The following is a 23,817-nucleotide window of genomic DNA, read 5'->3' as shown; positions in this document are numbered from 1 at the left end:
TGCTCCGAGTGTGGGGCCGCCAAGCCCGCGCCCACACGGAACTCCAGCTGGCCAGCAAGCGCCGCGGGCAGCCCGGGTTCCCGCTTGCGGCTCTCCCTCCACACCTCCCTGCAAGCTGAGGGAGCTGGCTCTGGCCTTGGCCAGCCCAGAAAGGGGCTCCCACAGTGCAGCGGTGGGCTGAAGGACTCCTCAAGTGCCGCCAAATTGGGAGCCCAGGCAGAGGAGGCGCCCAGAGCCAGTGAGGGCTGTGAGGACTGCTAGCACGCTGTCACCTCTCACTAGGACACACCTAAGAAATATTTGCTCAATGAGTAACCAGAAAAACCCTTTGGGGAAAGAGGATGACTCCTTGGAAGTAGAATTATTGTTGCTCAATATATGGAGGGAATGACAATTTCACATTTTTTAATGCATCTGAATGGACAGTGGAGTTGTAACCTTGTAATATTTTCTTCATCCATAAAATGAATCAAACTAATTAAGATCCTTAAAGTTCTATGAATTAGATGTTAGTGGTACTTTTTTGTTGACTGGACTTTATTATCTTTACTACTGTCTTTAAATGAAAATGTTAAAAAACAAAAAGCCTCCTAGCTGTGTGACCTACAAGGCTCAAGATATATGTGAGCATCAAAAATCACATCTTTTGGCCAAGCATGGTGGCTTATGCCTATAATCCTAGCACTTTGGGATGCTGAGGCAGGAGGATTGCTTGAGCCTAGGAGTTTGAGACCAGTCTGGGCAACACAGTAAGACCCCAATATCTACAAAAAATAAGAAAATTAGCCAGGTATGGTGGTACACACCTGTAGTCCCAGCTACTCGGAGGCTGTGGCAGGAGGATCATTGGAGCCCACGAGGTCAAGGCTGGGTGAGCCATGACATGACAGAGGGAGACCCTGTCTCAAAAAAAAAAAAAAGAATATATATATATATATATTTTTTTTTAACCTGTCTTTTACATGAAAAGTATGAAAGGACATAGAGGGAAAAGTCTCTCCCATCTCTATCTTCTAGCCCCTGTTCCCTTTCCATAGGCAATCAATATTGCTAGCTACTTATGTAGACTTCCAGTAAAGTTTTATGCAAATAGATGTAAATATTTGTATATATTTCACTGTATTTCCCATTTTTTGATATAAATACTAACCCTCTATTCATCCTGTTCTGCGCCTTGTTTTTTGTTTTTCGTTTTTTTTTTTGTTTTTTTTTTTTTTTGAGATGGAGTCTTTCTCTGTCACCCAGGCTGGCGTGTAGTGGTGTGATCTTGGCTCACTGCCATCTCTGCCTCCTGGGTTCAAGCAATTCTCCTGCCTCAGCCTCCCGAGTAGCTGGGATTACAGGCGTGCACCACCATGCCTGGCTAATTTTTGTATTTTTAGTAGAGATGGGGTTTCACTATGTTGGCGAGGCTGGTCTTGAACTCCTGACCTTGTGATCCACCTGCCTTTGGCCTCCCAAAGTGCTGGGATTACAGATGTGAGCCACTGCACCCAGCCAGTTTTTTTTTTAAACACTTAGCACCTAATGAGCTTCTTTATTAGAAAAATGGGAATAATGTGAGTACTTACCTCATAGCGTTGTTGTGAAAATCAAATGAGTTAAAATATACAAAGCACTGGCCGGGCGCGGTGACTCACACCTGTAATCCCAGCACTTTGGGAGGCCGAGGTAGGCAGATCACGAGGTCAGGAGATCGAGACCATCCTGGCTAACATGGTGAAACCCCATCTCTACTAAAAACACAAAAAAATAGCCGGGTGTGATGGCATCGCGCCTGTAGTCCCAGCTACTTGGGAGGTTGAGGCAGGCAGCAGAATCGCTTGAGCCTGGGAGGCAAGAGGTTGCAGTGAGGTGAGATCGCGCTGCTGCACTCCAGCCTGGGCGACAGAGCGAGATTCCGTCTCAAAAACACACACACACACACACACACACACACACACACACACACACAGCACTTAGAAAATGCCAGGCAAGCACTTAGAAAATGCCAGGCATGGCTGGGCGCAGTGGTGCACGCCTGTAATCCCAGCACTTTGGGAGGCCGAGGCAGGCAGATCACCTGATGTCAGGAGTTCAAGACCAGCCTGGCCATCATGGTGAAACCCCGTCTCTACTAAAAATACAAAAATTAGCTGGGCCTGGTGGCGTGTGCCTGTAATCCCACCTACTCGGGAGCCCAAGGCAGAAGAATTGCTTGAACCTGGGAGGTGGAGGTTGTAGTGAGCCGAGATTGTGTCATTGCACTCCAGCCTGGGTGACAGAGCAAGACCCCTCTCAAAAAAAAAAAAAAAAAAAAGAAAAAAAAAGAAAGAAAGAAAAAGAAAATGCCAGGCATATTGTGACCTCTGTATTAGTTTTCTATTACTGCATAACAACTAACACAAACCTGGTGGCTTAGAACAATACTGTATTAGCTCACAGTTTCTGCAGGTCAGAAGTCCAGGCATGGCTTAGCTGGGGTCTGTGCTCAGAGTCTCACAAGGCTAGAATCATGCAGCTGGGCTGCATTCTCACCTGGAGACTCAACTACAAAAGGGTTCGCTCCCAAATTCCTTCAAGTTGTTGGCAGCTATAAAACTCATGGCAGCTTGTTTGTTCAAACCCAGCAACAGGAGAGAGTTTCTGCTGCTTGGAGTCTCTGACCTCAAGGAATGCCTAGTCCTCCCCACCACCTTGAGATATAATTCACATATTATAAAATTCATCTTTTTAAAGTATATAGTTCAGCCGGATGTGGTGGTTCACGCATGTAATCCCAGCACTTGGGGAGGCCGAGGTGGGTGGATCACGTGAGGTCAGGAGTTCAAGACTAGCCTGGCCAACATGGCGAAACCTCATCTCTACTAAAAATGCAAAAATTAGCTGGGTGTGATGGCAGGTGCCTGTAATCCCAGCTACTCGTGAAGCTGAGGCAGGAGAATCACTTGAACCCAGGAGGCAGAGGTTGCAGTGAGCCAAGATGGCACCACTGCATTCCAGTCTGGGTGACAGAGTGAGACTCATCTCAAATAAATAAATAAATAAATAAATAAATACAGTACATAGTTCAATGATTTTAAATATATCCACAAAGTTGTGGAATTACCACCACTAATTCCAGAATATTTTCATCACCCCAAAAAGAAACCCTGTACTCATTAGCAGTCAGTCCTCATTCCCCCTTCTCTCTAGCCCCTGGTAACCACTAATCATTTTTCTGTTTCTGTGGAATTTCCTATTTTTCATTTCCATATGAACAGAATCTATAATATATCGCTTTTGTGTCTGGCTTCTTTTACTTAGCATAATGTTTTCAAGGTTCATTCATGTTGTAGCATGCATCAGTGCCTCATTCCTTTTTATGGCTGTATTCCACTGGACATACCTTTTGATAGATACTTATTTCCAATCCTTTGCTATTATTAACAACACTAAAGAATATCCTTGAATACACATTTAGAATGTGAATGAGTACATCTGTACCATATACATTTCTAGAAGTAGAACTGCTAGGTCAAAAGGTTATGCATCAGTAATATTGATAGTTATTGCTGAGTTATGCTATTTATATCCTGTCTTTTAAAGTACTGTTTGAGGAAGGGAGATGAAATGACATAGTGGAAAATGCACTGAGTTTTGTATTTTGTTTCAAGAGAAGTTTAATATATTGTGGTTATTAACGGCATGGGGCTTTGGAGGCACAGTGCCTGTGTTAGAATCTTGGTTTTGCAACTTACACTCTAAATGACATTAAGTTAATTAACTGCTCTGCCTCAGTTTTTTTCATCTGTAAATGGAAATAACATCAGTACCTTCTCTGGGCATTGATGAGACTACACCTGTAACACTCTTAGAACAGTGTCTGGGCTGGGCGCAGTGGCTTACACCTGTAATCCCAGCACTTTGGGAGGCCAAGGCAGGCAGATCACCTGAGGTCGGGAGTTTGAGACCAGCCTGACCAACATGGAGAAACGCCGTCTCTACTAAAAATACAAAAATTAGCTGGGCATGGTGATGGGTGCTTGTAATCCCAGCTACTTGGGAGGATGAGGCAGGAGGATTGCTTGAACCCGGGAGGCAAAGCTTGTGGTGAGCAGAGATCATGCCATTGCACTCCAGCCTGGGCAACAAGAGCGAAACTCCATCTCAAAAAAAAAAAAAAAAAAAAAAGAACAGTGTCTTGACACATAGAAAGTACTCAATAAATGTTACTAGCTTGCTATATGATCTTGAGTCATTGTCTTTTCCTATTTTTATTTTTTTACTTTTTTGAGACAGAGTCTCACTCTGTCACCCAGGCTGGAGTGCCATGGCACAATCTCGGCTCACTGCAACCTCCGCCTCCCAGGTTCAAGTGATTCTCCTCCCTTAGCCTCCTGAGTACCTGGGATAATAGGCATGTGCCACCACGCCAAGTTAATTTTTTTTTTTTTTTTGAGACGGAGTCTAGCTCTGTTGCCCAGGCTGGAGTGCAGTGGCACGATCTCCGCTCACTGCAACCTCCGCCTCCCAGGTTCAAGCGATTCTCCTGCCTCAGCCTCCCGAGTAGTTCGGATTACAGGCGCCTGCCCCCATGATCAGCTAATTTTTGTATTTTTAGTAGAGACGGGGTTTCACTGTGTTGGCCAGGCTGGTCTCGAACTCCTGACCTCATGATCTGCCCGCCTCAGCCTCCCAAAATGCTGGGATTACAAGCGTGAGCCACTGCACCCGGCCTTAACTTTTGTATTTTTAGTAGAGACAGGGTTTTACCATGTTGGCTAGGCTGATCTCGAATTCCTAACCACAAGTGATCCACCTGCCTTGGCCTCCTAAAGTGCTCACGGCCTACAGGCGTGAGGCACCGTGCCCAGCCTCTCTTTTCCTATTTTTAAATTGTGGAGTTGAAATTGATTATTTTTATGTTTCCAAATTTTAAAAGGCAATTGTGGTCCCTGGAAATTTAATTTTACACTATTTTATACTGTTCTCTAATATTCCTTGTGCTGCTGCTTTGCCCATTACTGATAGCAGGAGACAACTACAGGCTTTATACTTAAAAGCATAAACTTTTGGTAGCTCGTGCTTCAGAACTATGTGCCTCTGTGGTACTCACCCCCCCAAAGATATCTATATACATAAACATATATGAATACCTAGATGGGTATCTTCTGTATGTCACTGTGTTAGTTTTCCTGAAATAGGTGGGATTCAGCAAATTTATACCCCTTTTCTGCCCCTCATGTTTCTGACTCCTTACTTTACCTTTAGGTCTCAGCTTAGCCATCACCATACATCCTAGTTTCAGACGCATTCCCCACTGAACAGCAAATTTGAAGAAGGTAACCCTGTTCATTTGCTTCAAAATGACATCCTTAGTAGGTAGCAGTGCTTAGTCCCCAATACATAAAAAATATTTCTAATAGTGAACATTAGTAATGTTCTCCAGCTAAACTGAAATTTTTTTGCTATCTACAATAAATGAATATGTATTTAAAATTATATTTTAGAGACTCCTAATTTTTTTATACCTTGTAAGGCATAATATAGAAAATCTGATTTCACTAATTTTTTTTCTTTTATTATGATTATTTTTGAGATGAAGTCTCTCTCTGTCGTCCAGGCTGGAGTGCAGTGGTGCAATCTTCACTCAATGCAACCTCTGCCTCCTGGGTTCAAGAGTTTCTCCTGCCTCAGCCTCCCAAGTAGCTGGGATTACAGGCACCCACCACCATGCCCAGCTAATTTTTTTTTTTTTTGAGACGGAGCTGTTGCCCAGGCTGGAGTGCAGTGGTATGATCTCAGCTCACTGCAAGCTCCGCTTCCCGGGTTCACGCTATTCTCCTGCCTCAGCCTCCTGAGTAGCTGGGACTACAAGCGCCCGCCACCACGCCCAGCTAATTTTTTGTATTTTTAGTAGAGACAGGGTTTCACCGTGTTAGCCAGAATGGTCTTGATCTCCTGACCTCGTGATCCAACTGCCTCGGCCTCCCAAAATGCTGGGATTACAGGTGTGAGCCACCACGCCTGGCCCATGCCCAGCTGATTTTTGTATTTTTAGTAGAGACAGGGTTTCACCATGTTGGCCAGGCTATTCTCGAACCCCTGACCTCAAGTCCACCTGCCTCGGCCTCCCAAAGTGCTAGGATTATTTATTTATTTTTTTTAAATAGAGACAGAGTCTCACCATATGGTGAAGGCTGGTCTTGAACTCCTAGGCTCAAGTGATCCTCCAGCCTTGGCTCCCAAAGTGCTGGATTATAGGTGTCAGCCACCACACCCAGCTACATTTCATTAAAGTTTTTTTTTTTTTTAATAAATGTTGATTTGGAATGGGAAGCAATTTTTATCTTCACAAAATTTAAGATTCAACCTCTGTGGAGGGCTAATGGTTCTGTCTAGCCTTAGTTTTAGGTACTCTTTACTAACAACCTGTGATTGCTTTATGCATAGCCTACGAGCTTACAAGTAGAGTTGCCTTTTCTTGAGTGGATAAGTGGTGGCATTAGCATGCAATTAGTTGTTTTTGTTTGTTTGTTTTTAATAGAGACAGGGTCTCACTTATTGCCCAGTCTGGGCTTGAACTCCTGGGCTCAAGTGATTCTCTTGCCTCCACCTCCCGAAGTAGGATTTTGACGTGAGCCACACCTGGCTACAATTCTTATTTTTGAATTTGATAAAAATGAGCTTTTAGGGATGCCTTCAATGAATCAACAAAAAAGAAAGTTACCAATTTGGGACTGCAATGTGAGTTTCTGATCTTCTGTACTCTCTTTTAAATCAAGTAAAGCCCTTCCCCCAACTAAAAAACTTTTTCTTAAAATAATGTATTTTTCCCTCAACCTAGACCTCAGTTTTTCATTTAAACATATTTTAAAATGTGTGTGTGTGTTTTGAGACAAAGTCTCAGCCCAGGGTGGAGTGCAATGGTGCCATCTCAGGTCAGTGCAACCTCTGCCTCCCGGGTTCAAGCAATTCTCAAGCCTCAGCCTCCTGAGTAGCTGGGATTACAGGCATGTGCTACCATGCCCGGCTAATTTTTGTATTTTTAGTAGAGATGGGGTTTCACCATGTTGGCCAGACTGGTCTCCAACCCCTGACCTCAGGTGATCTGCCCGCCTCGGCCTCCCAAAATGCTGGGATTATGGGCGTGAGCCACTGCGCCTGGCCTAAAATGTGTTTTTAAACTATTTACTAATAATGGATTTACACTCTCTTTCGTATGATTTACTAAATTGTTTCGAATAGGTTGGGCAATTCATGATTTTTTTTTAATATCAGCTGTTAAACAGTGGTAATGTTTATTAGAGGACAAAAGAATCCAACTTTCGTGTTGCCCTTAGGAATGCTCTTTAAGCCTGGGGCTTTATTATGATGATAATTTGGTCTGTAAACTCCTTGGGAGACAGTTTGAGACTAGAGATCTGGGTCTCAAACCTGATCCTGCTGCTTGGCGACCCTCAACAAAATGTCAGCCCTCTGTTGCTTCGTCCATAAAATGAATAAAAGTGCACAGCTGCTGTGAAAATTAGGTCTTAGAGAAGCAGTCAGTGCAGTGCTTAAGTACTTACTCGGAGAGTTAAATAGACCCGGTTTCAAATCTTCGGTTACCATAATTTGTCCAGTGTCTTGCAACGCTTCTTTCAAATTCTGCAAACTAGTATCTACCTCATGTCTGTTGCTGTGAGGATTAAATGGAGACAATGCACGTAAATCACTTGTCCAGTCCGTGTCTAGCACGTAGAAAGCACTCAGTAAATATTGGCTGTACTCACGATAACCCGTGATAGTTTATACTGATAAGGTAGAAACCACTATGTAAAGGGCTCTTAACTATGAAGTTGTTCCCTTTATGGGAGAGCGACGACCTGCTGTGTATTTTTTAATGTGACCGCAAGTTTATTTTTTCTTTAATATACATTTACTATAGGAAAACGTTGATGAACGTTCCAGTGGAAGAAACAGTGGAGTTAGAGGTTTATCAGTGGCCAGATTTTTAACAGAAGTAACCATAGAAAGGGAACAAATGGAGGCCAGGTGCGGTCTCCATGGCGTGTGGTGGGGGGGGGTGCGACTAAAGGAAAAAAATGGGAAAAGTTAACAGCCTCCTCCCCTCAAACTCCCCAGAACCAAATCCTGTTAACACTAGGTTGTTAAGTCCCATCAGAGGATCTCAGGTGAAAGTGCTTGCTGGAGCTGTGACACTGGGTCACACTCTCTGAGATAAAAGAGAAGGCCGGGTGCGAGTAATCTATCATAAAGATACAAGATCCGGTGAGAATAGCAGGTCGCAAAGGCTGTCGAGGCTTTTAGGCTATTACCGCCTAGCCCATTCTTTTATCTCCTCTCCAGGTTTTTGTACACATGCAAATAGTTCATAAAACCGAGATCGTCCCGCATCCACTGCTCTGAAGCCCGTTTGGGCCGAGATAACTCGTGCGCAGAGGAAGGGTTTTGCCCACAAATGGGCGACGCCTGCGCTCCGGAGAAGAGGCCAAGCTAGTCTCCCTCGCCTGCAGCGCGGCGGGGGAATCCCCGGGAACCCGAAGATCGCCAGGGGCCCACGCATTCCGCAGGCCACGGCTGCGGCGTCGAGGTCCTCGCGGGGCGTTGCGGTCGCCCCTTTTGGCGGGCTCGGGCGCCCCGAAACTCCGCCCCCCGGCGCGGTATTTCCGCACTCGCGCAGGCGGGTGCCGCGCTCCCATTGGTGGAGTGGCCCGCGGTGGCCCCGCCCCCTCCCGGCCCCGACGCGCGCACGTTGAGTGGCGGGGGAAGGCAGAAGAACTGCCCGAGGGAGGAGCGGCTCCGAGGACCGGGCAGCGCATTTGGGGTGCCCGCTACAGGGCCCCCCAAGAGGCTGCCAGGTCGGGAGCGCAGCCTGAGGCCACGGGGGGAAGGGGGTGGGTGGGCTGAGAGCAGCTCGGCGGCGAGACTGGCCCGCCGCCCCTTCCCCCCACACCCGTCGACCTTGTGGGCAGAAGCTTCCCAGAGCTCCTTAGGCCGGCGCGATGGCGACTGCTGTGGAGACGGAGGCCTGTCAGCCGACGGATGCGAGTTGGGAAAGTGGCGGCGGCGGAGACGACGAGATGAAGCAGGCGCTTCCGGAGCTTGAGTCCTCCCAACAAAATGGCGGCGGCGGCGGCCTCAACATCGCTGAGCCCAGCGGCGGCGCTGGGCGTGAGGAGAACGCGGGGGCCGAGGCCGCCCAGAGCCTCAGCCACGAGCAGCCTCAGGACTCCTCTGAGGCGGGCGCGGCCGCCCTGCCCAGAGGCCCCGAAGAGCCCGAAAGGCCTGTTAGGAGGAGTTTTCAGATCCCCAGGAAGAGCAGAGAAAAGAAAGGTGGTGCCTCCCCTTCTTCTCAACCCCCTCTCTCTCTCCCCTCCATCTTTTCATTAGAATCTTTCTATCTCCTCTTCCCACACCCATCCGAGATACGTAAACACGCATGCAGCGCCGGCCGCCTCTCCCCTCACCGCCACGGCCGCCCAGCTGCCGCGTTTGGTGCGAGAGAAAGCGGTGGAACCACGCTCCCCTGCTGCCCCTCCCCGCGGAAGTTGGAAGTAGCTCAGGTTTGAAGCTTGTCCGTAAGGCTGCAGCTCCCAGAGAGGAAAGATGGTGCTCGGCGCCCCTCCCTCCCAGCCCCTGAAAGCAGAGAAGCCGTTGTGTCCTCCTAAGGATGCTTCTGAGAAGTCTCGCTATGGAAATAGCCCGTGGCCATGGATTCTGGGGCTTTCTCCAAGGCCATTGCCAATGTTCTGAGGACCATGAGTGCTTCTCCCCGTGGAAATTCTTCAGTTCTGTGTGTCTACTTGAAATGTGCTTGATGTCAGCGTCCTCCCTTATTTAGAAATCTCTATTAGTAGATGTGATCCATGCACACTGCTGTTTTCCATCACACTTCATTTCCATGTAGATTTTTCCCCCTTGTTTTTGAAGCGTTAGATTAAATAGGTTTTTCTCTCTTTAAATTCGAACTTAGTATTGTTTTTCTTATATTTGAAAAGAATGGAAAGGTAGGTTCTTGGAGCAGTAATTTCCCAATGGAAAAAAACTAATGAGAAGTTACCTTATTCTCAAGAGTCACCAACTTGGTCTTCTAGATGGTAGAACTTCAGGTTAAAAAAAAGTCCAGTCTTAGTTTTTGGAACCCATATGGAAACAGTTACATTAATTACTTGTACTTTTAAAAAATCTTAATGCCATATTGTTAATATGGAGTCAGAATTCCTAATGGAGGTCAAAATTAGTATCGTTTTTTGTTATTGGGGTATTATTTTTTAACTATCCAGTAAATTTTGGATATTCTGAATTTAGACAACTTCCTTTTTGCCCTACTGTATGGTTAGGTTTTCATTATTTACTTTGGAAAAAAATAGGATTTGTTTTTTTCCCGTATCTTTTCCATCCATCTGGTACAGAGTCTTGGCTGTAGCATTATACTGACTTTCCATAAGCATCACCAGTTCCATTTGCACTACTGGAATTGTTTGAGCCTTTTATTGGAAAAATACAAATAAAGTTCATTTGTTTGGATGGCAAAGCCAAGAAAATACTTGGTGTGAGAAACCATGTTGACAAAGATGAAGTTAACCTTTGGAAATTAGCATGAGGAATGTTTCTAGAAATATCTTTTGAGTTAATGTAATTTTAGGGTTCAGAAAGATACTTTTAAAGGTCAAAACTCAGTTCTTTTCGTGTATTTAGTTAAAATTTGAGATGTATGATTATAGTCTGTATGAGAAAAGTTCCCAGTGTAATCAATTGGTAGAGAATAGGTAGGAAGTACATTCAAATGGGCTCTGGTTATGAGGTAGGAGGTGGAACTATTTTTTTTCTTCACAGCTTGATAAAAGCCGTTTGAAATCTATTTTTAAGGTTTAAGTGCCTAAGAATATGGACAAACCGTGATTTTTTTTTTTTTTTTTTTACTGTTTGTTAGGACCAGAAGATTGGCCTAGAAACTCTTCAAAATTTAGTTTGAAATGTGGGAAGGCAGTAGGAACTGGAAAGGCACTGTGTTTGTGTGTTTTTTTAAAATTAGATAAAATCCAGAGATTGTTGTAAAATAGACTTCAGCTGAACACACTAAAAGTGGAAATAATTGAGGGATTAGGAAATATAAATCTAGCTGTTGTCCCCCATAGTCTTGTACCTCTTGGGTAAAACTTGTATTTTCCATTTTTACTTACAGACAAAAGTTGGGAGGAAAATATATCGCAGTGGACTTTGTCATGATTAGTGAAAATGAGCAATTTTTAACTTGTGTAATTATTTATACCCTGAACACCAGCTGTTCAAATAGTAAAATAGCGATTTAAATAGAACTTTAAAAAATTAAATAAGCAGCTATTTTACCACCATGAATTTTATCTTGTTCAAGCTGAGAGAAGTTAGTGGTTGCTGATAGAATTTAATACATAAATTCAACTTTATTAAAAAAATTCAAAAACAGTGCAGGTTCTGTTGCATTCATATTTTAATATGGTAGACCTTTTCTTGTGACTGTGCTTTTCCAGTGAAATTTAAGATTAGGACTTAAATATTTTAATACCTTAAAGGTCACTGCTATGCAAATACAACTTGACTCAGAAAGTTCTTTTTTTGGTCTTCCCAGTAGTGTGACATCCAAAATAACTGCCATTGTAATTGAGTAATAATATTGGCAAACACTTGTATAGTGCCTAATAAGTTGTGGGCATTGTTCTAAGCAATTTACATACATTGACTAAATCTCAACAATGTTTTGTGGTAGGTACTATTCCCATTTTACAGATGAGGAGACTAAAGTACTGAGAAGTTAGGTAACTTGCTTCAGGTCACACAGCTAAGTTGTGGAGATGGAATTTGAAGGTAGTTGTAGAGTACTTTTACTACTATAAAAAAGAAAAATCTTGCTACCCAGTTTGAATAATCTAAGGGTTTAAGTTAGCTGCTTTTGACCTGACCTGTTAGTAACAAAAACTGTTCCCCCCCTTCATTAAATATAGAAATATTTAGTATGTTTTCATCCTTGGGGAATTTTGACATTCAGAAATTATGTTTACTATCAACATTTGGTTGGTACTGACATACTAAGTGCGTCTTTGACTGGAAAGGTATACATTTTACTGTTTTTGATGTATGTTATTTATTGGCTGAGGCATGATTCTTACATTTAACCAAATTATAGAATTTAACCAAATTGTAGAATTGCATTTTGTTGGTAGATGTTTCACTATTGCCTTCTTTAAATCTAGTGAGTCATAAAAAGTAAATTAAAATTGGTAATTGCATTTGATGTAATTTTTCCCTCCAAAGTTCTTGGGAAATGGAGTAGCGATGATTCACTTTCTGGAAAACGTTTATTGGTTAATGTTTTTGTAGGGTCCAAGGGAGTCTCAAAAATTAATTGCGCTCATGCACTAAATTTCCATACTGGTTTAGTCCAGAAGTAATGGCTAATTCTCCTAACCTCCATCTTCCCCCACAAAATTTTCACTTGCCTTTTTGAAGTCATTGGAGCCAAGTCTCATTCTTAAGGAAATTTCCATGGTATTTCATTAGTTGTATATGGATGAGTGGGTTCTGAGAACAATAGCTCTCTCCATACATAATAGCAAAGTAATCAAGGTAAAATTTACTTTGAGCTATCCTCAGTCCAAAAAACTTTGTTTCGTATTTGTACTCTTGATTCCTGCCAGCATATTCATTTCTAATTGTACACTATGTTCAACCTTGTTGATGTAGAGATGAAGTACCCACTCCTAAAGTATTGTCTGTGGTAATTTTTTTTAGAATGAAGAAAAGTGATTTTAAAAAAAGATCTTACTGTGAAGAACAAATGGATGGAGAGTGGTTGTATTATAATCATTAATAGGCGTCAGCTGTGAATTCAGAAAATTTCAGATCCTCAGCCTCTTCTTGCTAATTATTTCGTCATCTTCTATGTATTAGTTACTTTAAATCAGACAATTGTTTATTTGTACTTCGTATGACCCATTTGTATGTCTTTTTTTTTTTTTTTTTTGGAGTCAGAGCCTCTGTTGCCCAGGCTGGGATGCAGTGTTGCGATCCCGGCTGACTGCAGCCTCTGCATCCTAGGTTCAAAGGATTCTCCTTCCTTAGCCTCCCCCAGTAGTTCGGATTACAGGCATGTGCCACCACGCCCAGCTAATTTTTGTATTCTCCTTAGAGGTGGGATTTTGCCATGTTGGCCAGGCTGGTCTGGAACTCCTGACCTGAAGTGATCCGCCCTCCTTGGCCTCCCAAAGTGCTGGGATTACAGGCATGAGCCGCCACGCCCAGCCCCATTTGTATGTTTTGATAGGAATGATATGTCTTTTAAGTTTAGCTTTTTTAAATTTATGTATATATGATAATATTTTTTGTGATACATGTATACATAATACAAAAAGATCTGCCTTAACACCAAACAAATTGGTAAAACTAATTGATGAAGATGTTCTTTTGATTAAGGAACAAAGCTGTTTGATGACCTAAATTATATATCAATGCCCACTGCCTTTATAAATACAACCTTCAAATCTTGAGTGTGGGCTGGGCATGGTGGATCATGTCTGTAATCCCAGCACTTTGAGAGGCCGAGGTGGGCGAATCACGAGGTCAGGAGTTTGAGACCAGCCTGGCCAACGTGGTGAAACCCTGACTCTATTAAAAATACAAAAAATTAGCTGGGCCTGGTGGTGGGTGCCTGAAATCCCAGCTGCTCGGGAGGCTGAGGCAGGAGAATAGCTTGAACCCAGGAGGTGGAAGTTGCAGTGAGCCAAGATCGCGCCACTGCACTCCAGCCCGGGCAACAGTGCAGAACTCCATCTCAAAAAAAAAAAAAAAAAAAAAATCATAAGTGTGTTTTGTATGATACTAGTAATAAAAAATATTTGATGATAGTATGGCTAAGAGTCAGGAAATTTGAATTCCAGTTGAAATTCTATGATACTATCAGTTTCCTCGTTTGAATTATAAATCTCTAAGTGCCCTTGTAAATCTGCTCTTCAGTCTCGTAAAATACATCTATAATTTGTAAGTAGGGAAACCTTGTGTGATCAGTAATCAACTTAGCTGTTCTTCTGACAGGCATTTAATGGAAATCGATCAAATAAGCAAAATTACACATTTCTTAATGTGTGAAAGAACTTCTATTGCTACTGCTGTTAACCTTTATAAAACAAAGGGTGTTACGACTCTTGGCCCTGTTGTCTCTAGAGGAAAATTAAAATCAGAAAAAATTAAGAAATTTGAGAGAAGATAGGAAGGTAGAAAGAGCAGTATTAGAACGAAATTCTTTGTTCTTTTATATTAACTTCCTGTGTCTAAGTGTTGTATATGATTTCTAGTCTATAAAGTGAGGAAACAGTCATTTTTCCAGCTCTTGACATGATTGGACATTGTATGTCTAATACCCATATGCACACACACATCATATATTTCAGGATACAAGAAAGGGAGCTTAACCACTTGAATTTGAATCCCAGCAGCTTGATTCATTCATTAACCCTGTAACCTTGGGCCAACTCAAAAGGCTACTTGTCTCAGTTTCAATTGAGAAACGGGCATGTTGAACTTCATAGTGTAGTTTTGATGATTGAGATGATATATGTAAAGCTCTTAGTACAGTATTGAAGGTGGTACTTAACCACTAATGGTTAGACAGTAACTGTCAATCTAGAGAACAGTGTATTGAATACTGAGTTCCCTGAGTGAAATGGATAATTCATATACATAATGCTTTCCCTATTTGGATAGACACAGGGTTGTTTATTATTACTACCTCAAATAGTGACCCATAATTGAGATTTTTGACTTAAATATTTTCTTTAAAAGGAGTGACAGGATACATTGATCGAGATACATGTAGTGTTAAATGACCTCTGAGGACATAAAATAGACTACCAGAAAATGTACATTCAGAACATGAACTTAATAAATTTTCTGAACTGCTGTTAGCAGCAAGTTGACTTGAAATCCTTAAAAATAGTTGCAGGATAATTTTATTATCTTAGAAATTATCACCAGAAAAAATGAGAAATTATAACCGGCCTAACGAAGCCACTGAGGCATTTGCAATACAAAATAATTAGGATACAGATATTTATTGTTAAAGCTAAAATGCTTTTTCCTTTTCATTTGCAATAATTTTTTTCCTGTCAGCTGTCATTTTTAGTACATTGGACATGACTTGGACATTGCTTTAGAGTCAACTGGAAATGTTAAGTACTTTGAGAATAATTTGGATGTGAACTTTTATGCAGATTCATGATTTGACTAATTTTTTACTTACGATTAGATTAATGGTAGAAATTGTATTGGGTAGCTTAACTAATGAAAATTTCTTTTATGTAGACTAACATTTCATAGAAATTGGCAGCCATGTGATACCTTTTTTTGTGTACATTTTATATATCTGAAGTCATTTTGTTTAGAAACAAAATCGTGTAAAACCCAACTTTTAAAATCATAACCCAACTTTTAAAATCATGCTTGGCCCACTTTGGTTGTGAAAGCCTATAAAGACCTCCACATGCTGCTTTCCTTGCCAAGTTTTTCACAGTTTAATTGGGGACAATTATCACAAAGATAAGATGTTTTTGTCCTACGTTCCATAACACAGGTTTGAATGAAGACAATATATGCCTTCTACCCTCTTTTCTGAGCTTTCATTTGTGTTTCGTATATTACTGAATTGTTGAATTTGTGAAAGAGTCAATTTTAAATCACAGTCATTTAGTAGTAGAATATATTGTTACCATTTTTAAAGCTCTTGACAAAATTTCTCATTTTCTTGACTATTTAATATATTTAGGGCTGGCACTCACAGGTCTAGCTACTGGGATGTGGGAAACACGAGTAATGAGCAAGGCAGGTTCCTGCTCTCATGGAGCTTACAATCAATAGGTTACCGAGCATATTCGTCTGCTACAAGTTTGATTATAGGACACTTTGTGTTGAGTAGTCTTGTTCTATTTGAGTACTTGTTTGAGCTTACTCCTGTTTATTTTTTAATTGTATTGCTATAACTGTTGACTATTTTTTTCGTGCACAGTTCGAAAATAGTGGTAACCATTTGTTTGTACACATTGTGCCATTGAAAACTACGTTTTTACAGACACTTATGTAATATATACATGCTTTGGTAAATGAATGGATGAATGGCTCTGTCATTTGACATGTCTTTTAAAGTCTAATAATCATGTATAAAAAAGATAACGGTTCGCTGCATCTGTTACCTTTAGGAGTATGTACAAGTGGAACATTATGTTTTCAGTAGTGACCTGTTTTGACTGTTACATTCTTGACCCTTATTAAATAGTGTCTTGAAAGAAATTAAGGTAATAGAGAATAACATAGTTTCTATGAGTAGTTCTCTCTACAGTGAAAAGTGGTTCCTTTTTGATTTGGGGAAATATATATATGTATAGACTTTTAGGTGTATTAGTAAATTAAAGTATTTTGTGCATAAGATGGAAATTTGAGGTTACTAGACCAGTAATTCTCAAGAACTAATTGCATAGTTGATTTAAATGTTTTAAAAATTAAGTGGGGACCGGGCACGGTGGCTCATGCCCGTAATCCCAGCACTTTGGGAGGCCGAGGCAGGTGGATTACCTGAGGTCAGGGGTTCGAGACCAGCCTGGCCAACATGGTGAAACCCCATATCTACTAAAAATCTAAAAATTAGCTGGGCGTGGTAGCAGGCATCTGTAATCCCAGCTAGTTGGAAGACTGAGGCAGGAGAATCGCTTGAACCTGGGAGGCGCGGAGGTTGCAGTGAACCAAAATCGTGCCACTGCACTTCAGCCTGGGCAACAAGAGCGAAACTCCATCTCAAAAAAAAAAAAAATTCAGTGGGATGTAGAATGGTTGGGGATGTGGAGGATAAAAACTTAAATGTCCTGGCTGGGCACGGTGGCTCATGCCTGAATCTCAGCACTTTGGGAGGCCGAGGCAGGTGGATCACGAGGTCAGGAGATCGAGACCATCCTGGCTAACACAGTGAAACCCCGTCTCTACTAAAAACACACACACACAAAAATTAGCCGGGTGTGGTGGTGGGTGCCTGTAGTCCCAGCTACTTGGGAGGCTGAGGCAGGAGAATGGTGTGTACCTTGGAGGCGGAGCTTGCAGTGAGCCAAGATTGTGTCACTGCACTCCAGCCTGGGTGACAGAGCGAGACTCCATCTCAAAACAAACAATGTCCTACTATGCGTCAGATGCTATGCTTAGAGCTTTTTCCACGTGTTGTCTAGTGTGGCATGTGGCATATAGTGGTTATTAGAGTAGCTGGAGTTTGCCATTTTACATATGAGAGAGCTGAGCTATATAAGTAATTTATTTACCTGCATTTTACTCCAAGCCAGTAATGCTAGGTCTGGTATTTGTGTCCAGCTTTGACTCTAAAGCCCCACATGTTTTCATTTTACTAAGTTGTCATAATAAATGTTCTACTACTTTTTGTGGATTATACAAGAAGCCACGTGAGTGCAGCATTTTATTTTTTATTTTTATTTTTGAGACAGGGTCTCTCTCTCACTCCCAGACTGGAGTGCGGTGGGAGAACGTGGCTCACTGCAGCCTTGAACTCCTGGGCTCAAAGGATCCTCCTGCCTCAGCCTCCCAAGTAGCTGGTACTACAGGCATGCACCACCATGCCTGGCTAATTTTTTTTTTTTTTTAATGGTTTGTAGAGACAGGGTCTCACTGTGTTGCCCAGGCTGCTCTGGAACTCCTGAGCTCAAGCAGTCTTGCTGCCTTGGCCTCCCAAAGAGCTGGAATTACAAGCATGAGCCACCAAGCTTTTTTTTTTTTTTTTTTTTTTTAAACTTAAAGACCAGTGTGTCAGTAACAGCATATTTTGTTACTTCACATAACGTCTTAAATGCTTTTATGGTCTCATACATGGTATAGGTAGTTTGCTGAAATACACAGTCTGAGACATACTTCAGTGTAACATAAAATAGGAGCTAAGTTGAGTATAAACACAGGTTCTTTTAAGAGTCTTTAAGCAATTTAGGTTGCCTAATATAGCATGCCTAAGGTTTGCAAAATTGCACCTTCCTTGTCTATGTATGTAATGCCAGATCCTCATTGTTGAAGGAACTGGTGTATGTAGGCAACTAGTTTTACATTTTTTTTCAATGAGTTAATAAGTATCTCTTTTGCGTATCACAAAGTAAGATAGCCTTGATGCCTTTTTTCATGGTATTTAAAGTTACATTAACCCACAAAAATATAAAAAGCTATATTTAAGATGGAGTAATGTTAAACATTTTAAATGTTTGTTTTTTTATTTTAGCACTTTTCCAGCCATTAACTCCAGGCTCTCGAGAATTTGAAGATGTTGTAAATATTCTCCATTCTTCTTACCTTGAACCAACCTCAGTAACAAATTTTAACTACAGACGTGCTTGCTTGGTACACAATGAGCTTTTGGAAAAGGAGGTATGTTTTAAATTATACTTACTGTAAGATTGTTTTCAGAACCAGTTAACAGCCTGGGAAAAAAATGTTCTCTAGAAATACTAAAATTTTTAGGAAAACCAAATTACAAAGGGAAAACAAGTTTTTTTTTTTTTTTTTTTTTTTTTGGAGACGGAGTTTCACTGTTGTTGCCCAGGCTGGAGTACAGTGGCGCGATCTCGGCTCACTACAGCCTCTGCCTCCCTGGTTCAAGCAGTTCTCCTGCCTCAGCCTCCAAAGTAGCTGGGATTACAGTCATGTGCCACTGCACCTGCCTAATTGGGAAAACAAGTTTTAAATGACATCTCTTTTTTCCACCAGATGTTGCTGTAGCATTACATTTATCTGCTGTGTTAAATTGTTACTAATATGCAATTATGTAAAATAACTTTTTAACTGAAAATCTTAAGTGTAGAGATAGCTTACTAGCTAATGGTTCAATTGTAAATTCAGCTGAGCATGGTGGCTCATGCCTGTAATCCCAGCACTTTGGGAGGCCGAGGTGGACGGGTCGCTTGAGGCCAGGGGTTTGAGACCAGCCTGGCCAACGTGGCAAAACCCGTCTCTACGAAAATTAGCTAGGCGTGGTGGCACATGCCTGTAATCCCAGCTTCTTGGGAGGGTGAGGCAGGAGAATTGCTTGAACCCGTGAGGTTGCAGTGAGCTGAGATCGCGCCACTGCACTCAAGCCTGGGTGATAGAACAAGAACTCTGTCTCAGATAAATAAGTAAATAAATAAATTGTGAATTAGTAGGGCTTTTTGCTCTTTGAGTATTGTACATGTTAATTAAATGCCTAAATTGGAAGGTAATTAATGAAGTCAAATATATGGGTGTGTTTGTTTTTAGGACATGCTTCATTTTTTCCACAATTATTGCCTGGTGGCTATATTAGGATTTTATCATTAGTACATATTCTTAGTGAAAAAGTTCAAACAAAGAAGAATAATTGAGCATGTTAGACAGTGAACTTAAGTTTCATGTACAAATTAGAATATTTGAGTTTTGATTTAGGAAAAGCCAGAATGTATAGATGTTTTGAAATATTTGATGCATAATGATTTCCGATGGACCTGAAATACGAATTTTTTATTTTTGCAAGTTGGTTAACCAAGTGGTACCAGGATTTAATTTTGAAAGGTTCCCTAAAGGGCACTGAATCCCAGAGAAAATTAAAATCTTAGTAGTTTGAATTGATGTGGTTTCATGGTATGGTAGCGATTATTTGTTAATTTCATATGAAAATTTAGTCTGAAGATAAATTAGTTATTAAAGAGCAGTAATAGCCTGAATATAAAATGTTAGCTATTTTATATTTTAAATGCATATCTATTTTATAGATAGGAAAGCCAGTGGTTTAGGATAACTTATAGTTCCAACTAGTTAGAAAAAGTCACTCTTCCATCCTATAAATATGTATGGAGCACATCTTATGTGCTTGGCATTGAGAATACAGTTACAGAGAAAAGAAGCATTTTTCTTGTCCTAATTGAGTTTATAATCTAGAAGTTGGTCATTCAGCAGATTTATTAAACCACCTGTTGGATGCAGTGTACCATGTTAAGTAAAATGGAAGATACAAAGATAATTAAAGCATGAATTTATAATCTATGGGAGAGTTGGAATGTGGTAAAATTATAAGATAAATTTAAAGATTGGTGAGCATTAGATGTTTATTTGACTATATTAATATTATATATAAAGAGCCAGTTAAAATAGGGGAAAAACTGAAGGACAGAGAGTATAGAGAGATAGAGATTATTTTTCCATTTTGGTAGGTGTGAGATTTCTTGGAAAAAAAAATAAAACTTGTAGCTTGAAAAACATAATCACATGCTAAGTAGTTGTTATAGTTTTAATTTCATTTAGTTTACAGAAAAGCGAAGAGAACTGAAGTTTGATGGTCGTTTAGATAAGGAACTTTCAGAATCCTATGCATTTCTGATGGTTGATCGATACCAGGTGAGTTAACGCATTTTATAAAAAACAATTTGGGGATGTTTCCATTGTAAGTTACTAATTTTGTGATTATTCAACAGTATTCTTTACAATTACAGACTTTTTTGATATATAAGTGGAATACATGATTTAATGGGGCAAAATGTTTATTGTTTGTAATTTGTTTTTCAAATGTACTCAGTTTTTTCTCTGACCAGTCCTATTTTCTTCCCCTAGAATGTGCTTGATAATAATACTTTTCTGTTTATTTATTTATTTTTTTCTGAGATGGAGTCTTGCTCTGTCACCCAGGCTGGAGTGCAGTGGCGTGATCTTGGCTCACTGCGACCTCTGTCTCCTGAGTTCAAGCGATTCTCCTGCCTCAGCCTCCCAAGTACATGGGGTTACAGAAACACCCCCCCACACCTGGCTAATTTTTGTATTTTTAGTAGAGACGGGGTATCACCATGTGGGCCAGGCTGGTCTTGAACTCCTGACCTCATGATCCACCCACCTCGGCCTCCCAAAGTGCTGGGATTACAGGTGTGAGCCACCGCGCCTGGCCTTTTTTCTTTATTAAGAAGACTGTCTTCTATATTGTTGATTATATGTGAGATTATCTTCTATATTGTTGATTCTATGTGCCTGGAACCATTTTTCCTTTTTTTTTTTTTTTTTTTTTTGAGATGGAGTCTCACTCTGTTGCTCAGGCTGGAGTTAAATGGTGTGATCGCGGCTCACTCACTGCAACCTCCTTCTCCCAGATACAAGTGATTCTTGTGCCTCAGCCTCCCGAGTAGCTGGGATTACAGGACACGCCACCGCACCCGGCTAATTTTTTTGCGTTTTTAGTAGAGTTGGGGTTTCCCCATGTTGGCCAGGCTGGTCTTGAACTCCTGACCTCAAGTGATCTGCCTGCCTTGGCCTCCCAAAGTGCTGGTATTACAGGCGTGAGCCACCATGCCTGGTCTGTTTTTTCCCCTTTTAATCGAAGATATTTAGGTGGAATAATATTTTGCTGTTTCTAATTCTCTTTGAAAAGAATTGGTTATATATATTGAGTGGCAGGAGTTAAGAGTATCTGTCACACCTGGCATGAAGAAAAATGATTGAAAAGTAGCCAGGCATGGTGGTGAGCACTTGTAGTTCTAGTTACTTGGGAGGCTGAGGTGAGAGGATCACTTGAGCCCAGGAGTTCAAGGTCATGCCACTGCACTCCAGCCTAGAGGGCAGAGGGAGACCCTATCTCTAAAAAAATTAAAATGAAGAAAAATGGATTCTAGATATGGTTACTTTGAGAAGTGTAAGTCAGTTTTACATTAATATTTATAAAGTGGCAAATATATAAGATTTCTGTGATCTAGAATGATACATAGTTAAGAAGCTTTGTTTTTATTTAAACCAAGTTTATAAAATTATTTTTTCATGTTTTAAATGTTGTTATGACTGCAAGATGAAGTATTTTTTTTTAAATTTAGGTTCAAACCATATGTGAAAAAGGATTACATGTGGGTCAGTCCAAAATAACAATTCTTGGCAGTCCTTCCATGGGTAATCTTTTTTCTTTTTAAATATAAATATCTACTACTAAGTTGCTGTCTAAAAATACATTGTCTCGTAATTTCACTGCAGTTGTTATTAAATTCATGCTTTATTATGTTCCCAGAAAAAGACTAGTCATAGGTTCTGAAATGTAAGATCAGTTTTATCTTTTGTTTCTGATTTTTGAACACCTCAAATTGATGAAGGATAACTTCTTAAAAATGTCTTATTTTAGTCCTAGTGATTTTGAAAAATATAATCAGTTTCCTTAATTTTTCCGTCTTTTCTAGGTGTCTATCTTTCTAGGTATGCTGATTTATTACAAGCGAATCCTTTGGACACGGGGGCAATGGGTGATGTTGTTATTTTTAAAATAATGAAGGTAATTTAAACTTACACACTTCATGTATGAAAAACTACACTTGATTTGGATTTTAATTTTTAGATGATGCTGTTTTTAGGAGATTGTTTAAAAGTTCATGCTTGTTAGTGTTTGGTACTTAAAGATACTTTTGAAAATGGTTTATTTGCCATCTTTTTTTGTGTGTGTGTTGTTTTTTGTTTTTTGGTTTTTTGAGATGGAGTCTCGCTCTGTTGCCCAGGCTGGATGGAGTGCAGTGGCGCCATCTTGGCTCACTGCAAGCTCCGCCTCCCGAGTTCATGCCATTCTCCTGCTTCAACCTCCCAAGTAGCTGGGACTACAAGTGCCCGCCACCAAGCCCGGCTAATTTTTTGTATTTTTAGTAGAGACGGGTTTTCACCGTGTTAGCCAGGATGGTCTCGATCTCCTGACTTCGTGATCCACCCGCGTCAGCCTCCCAAAGTGCTGGGATTACAGGCATGAGCCACTGCGCCTGGCCTATTTGCCATCTTTGAGCTAAGCTAACCGTACTTAAGAGTTTGTTTTCCTTTCCAAAGAAAGGAATGTAGAGAGTAATATGTTGGTAATATGATTTATATTAGTGAAGAGTATTATGAATGGAGTTTCTATTTACTTGTTATTAAACAAGTTCAAATGATTTTTTTTTTTTCTTTTAGTGATTAGCTTTTTCTTACTGCTTCAAATTTGGTAAAAGTGTTCTATGAGATATTATTTTATTTATTTTTTGGAGACGGAGTCTCACTCTGTCACACAGGCTGGAGTGCAGTGGCACAATCTTGGCTCACTGCAACCTCCGCCTCCCAGGTTCAAGCAGTTCTGCCTGCCATAGCTTCCTGAGTAGCTGGGATTAAAAGCGTGCGCCACCATGCACTGCTAATTTTTGTATTTTTAGTAGAGACGGTTTCGCCATGTTGGCCAGGCTGGTCTCGAACTCCTGACCTCAGGTGATCCGCCTGCCTTGGCCTCCCAAAGTGCTGGGATTACAGGCCTGAGTCACCGCGCCCAGCTGTTCTGTGAGATATTAAAGGGAAAAAATGGTTGGGATAGTTGATCTATATTCAAAGAAGTATTTCATAATATTAATGTTATATAGTCAACAATTAGGTTTAGGTAGACACTTAAAAGGTTTTCTCTATTTTAGGGTAAAATAAAGAGTATATATGACCCCATGGGTGTAAAAAGTTTGGAATCTATGTTAAATAAGAGTGCTTTGGACCCCACACCAAAGCATGAATGTCACGTGTCAAAGAATGCCAATCGAATTACATCACTTTTGGCTTACAGAGCCTATGAGCTTACTCAGGTAGGTTCCAGGATCCGTTGTAATGTTGTGATCTCATACCTGTTTGTTACCAAATCCTTTAAAATGTCTCCCTTTCAGTTCTCTCTGTCCCCACATTAGTCTAGACTCTGGTGTCTGCATATCACTTCCAGACTCCAGTGTCTGTTGCTGCTGTTTGTTCAGTGTTTTCTGAGATGTCTCAGAAACATGCAGTGGGTCTTCAAGGTTACAGGGTAATATTTATAGACTCCCTAGTCTA

At 40.9% G+C, this 23,817-nt stretch overlaps 1 protein-coding gene across 7 annotated transcripts in view, besides 4 other annotated features; it reads left to right on the top strand.

Annotated features, from left to right (window-relative positions):
* Window positions 8,579-8,878: a silencer, noted in NCBI's record as "silent region_14471". NCBI's record gives its function as "represses an Ori minimal core promoter by ATAC-STARR-seq in GM12878 lymphoblastoid cells {active_cell/tissue: GM12878}" and the evidence as "EXISTENCE:reporter gene assay evidence [ECO:0000049][PMID:35858748]".
* Window positions 8,711-23,817, top strand: part of TASOR (transcription activation suppressor) — a 63,134-nt gene continuing 48,027 nt past the window's right edge. For 5 of the 7 annotated variants that reach the window (NM_001365638.2, NM_001365636.2, NM_001365637.2 and 2 more), the window contains exons 1-6: window positions 8,711-9,300; window positions 18,251-18,396; window positions 20,284-20,376; window positions 21,831-21,903; window positions 22,185-22,276; window positions 23,418-23,579. In NM_001365638.2, coding sequence (NP_001352567.1) covers window positions 8,970-9,300; window positions 18,251-18,396; window positions 20,284-20,376; window positions 21,831-21,903; window positions 22,185-22,276; window positions 23,418-23,579 — 897 coding nt within the window. In that variant the 5' untranslated portion in view covers window positions 8,711-8,969. Of the gene's footprint in view, window positions 9,301-18,250; window positions 18,397-20,283; window positions 20,377-21,830; window positions 21,904-22,184; window positions 22,277-23,417; window positions 23,580-23,817 lie in introns of those variants that run through there. The other 2 variants (NM_001363940.1, XM_047447814.1) reach the window with 2 other exon arrangements.
* Window positions 8,936-9,880: an enhancer, noted in NCBI's record as "NANOG-H3K27ac-H3K4me1 hESC enhancer chr3:56716124-56717068 (GRCh37/hg19 assembly coordinates)". NCBI's record gives its function as "activates a minimal SCP1, AML or CMV promoter by ChIP-STARR-seq in naive H9 embryonic stem cells {active_cell/tissue: H9 hESC(naive)}" and the evidence as "EXISTENCE:reporter gene assay evidence [ECO:0000049][PMID:30033119]".
* Window positions 9,019-9,188: an enhancer, noted in NCBI's record as "active region_19981". NCBI's record gives its function as "activates an Ori minimal core promoter by ATAC-STARR-seq in GM12878 lymphoblastoid cells {active_cell/tissue: GM12878}" and the evidence as "EXISTENCE:reporter gene assay evidence [ECO:0000049][PMID:35858748]".
* Window positions 9,609-9,728: an enhancer, noted in NCBI's record as "active region_19980". NCBI's record gives its function as "activates an Ori minimal core promoter by ATAC-STARR-seq in GM12878 lymphoblastoid cells {active_cell/tissue: GM12878}" and the evidence as "EXISTENCE:reporter gene assay evidence [ECO:0000049][PMID:35858748]".

Source organism: Homo sapiens, chromosome 3 (genome assembly GCF_000001405.40).
Source record: "Homo sapiens chromosome 3, GRCh38.p14 Primary Assembly".
Taxonomy (NCBI): Eukaryota; Metazoa; Chordata; class Mammalia; order Primates; family Hominidae; genus Homo; species Homo sapiens.
Note: the sequence above shows the minus strand (reverse complement) of the source record. Positions and strands in the feature narration are given on the sequence as shown.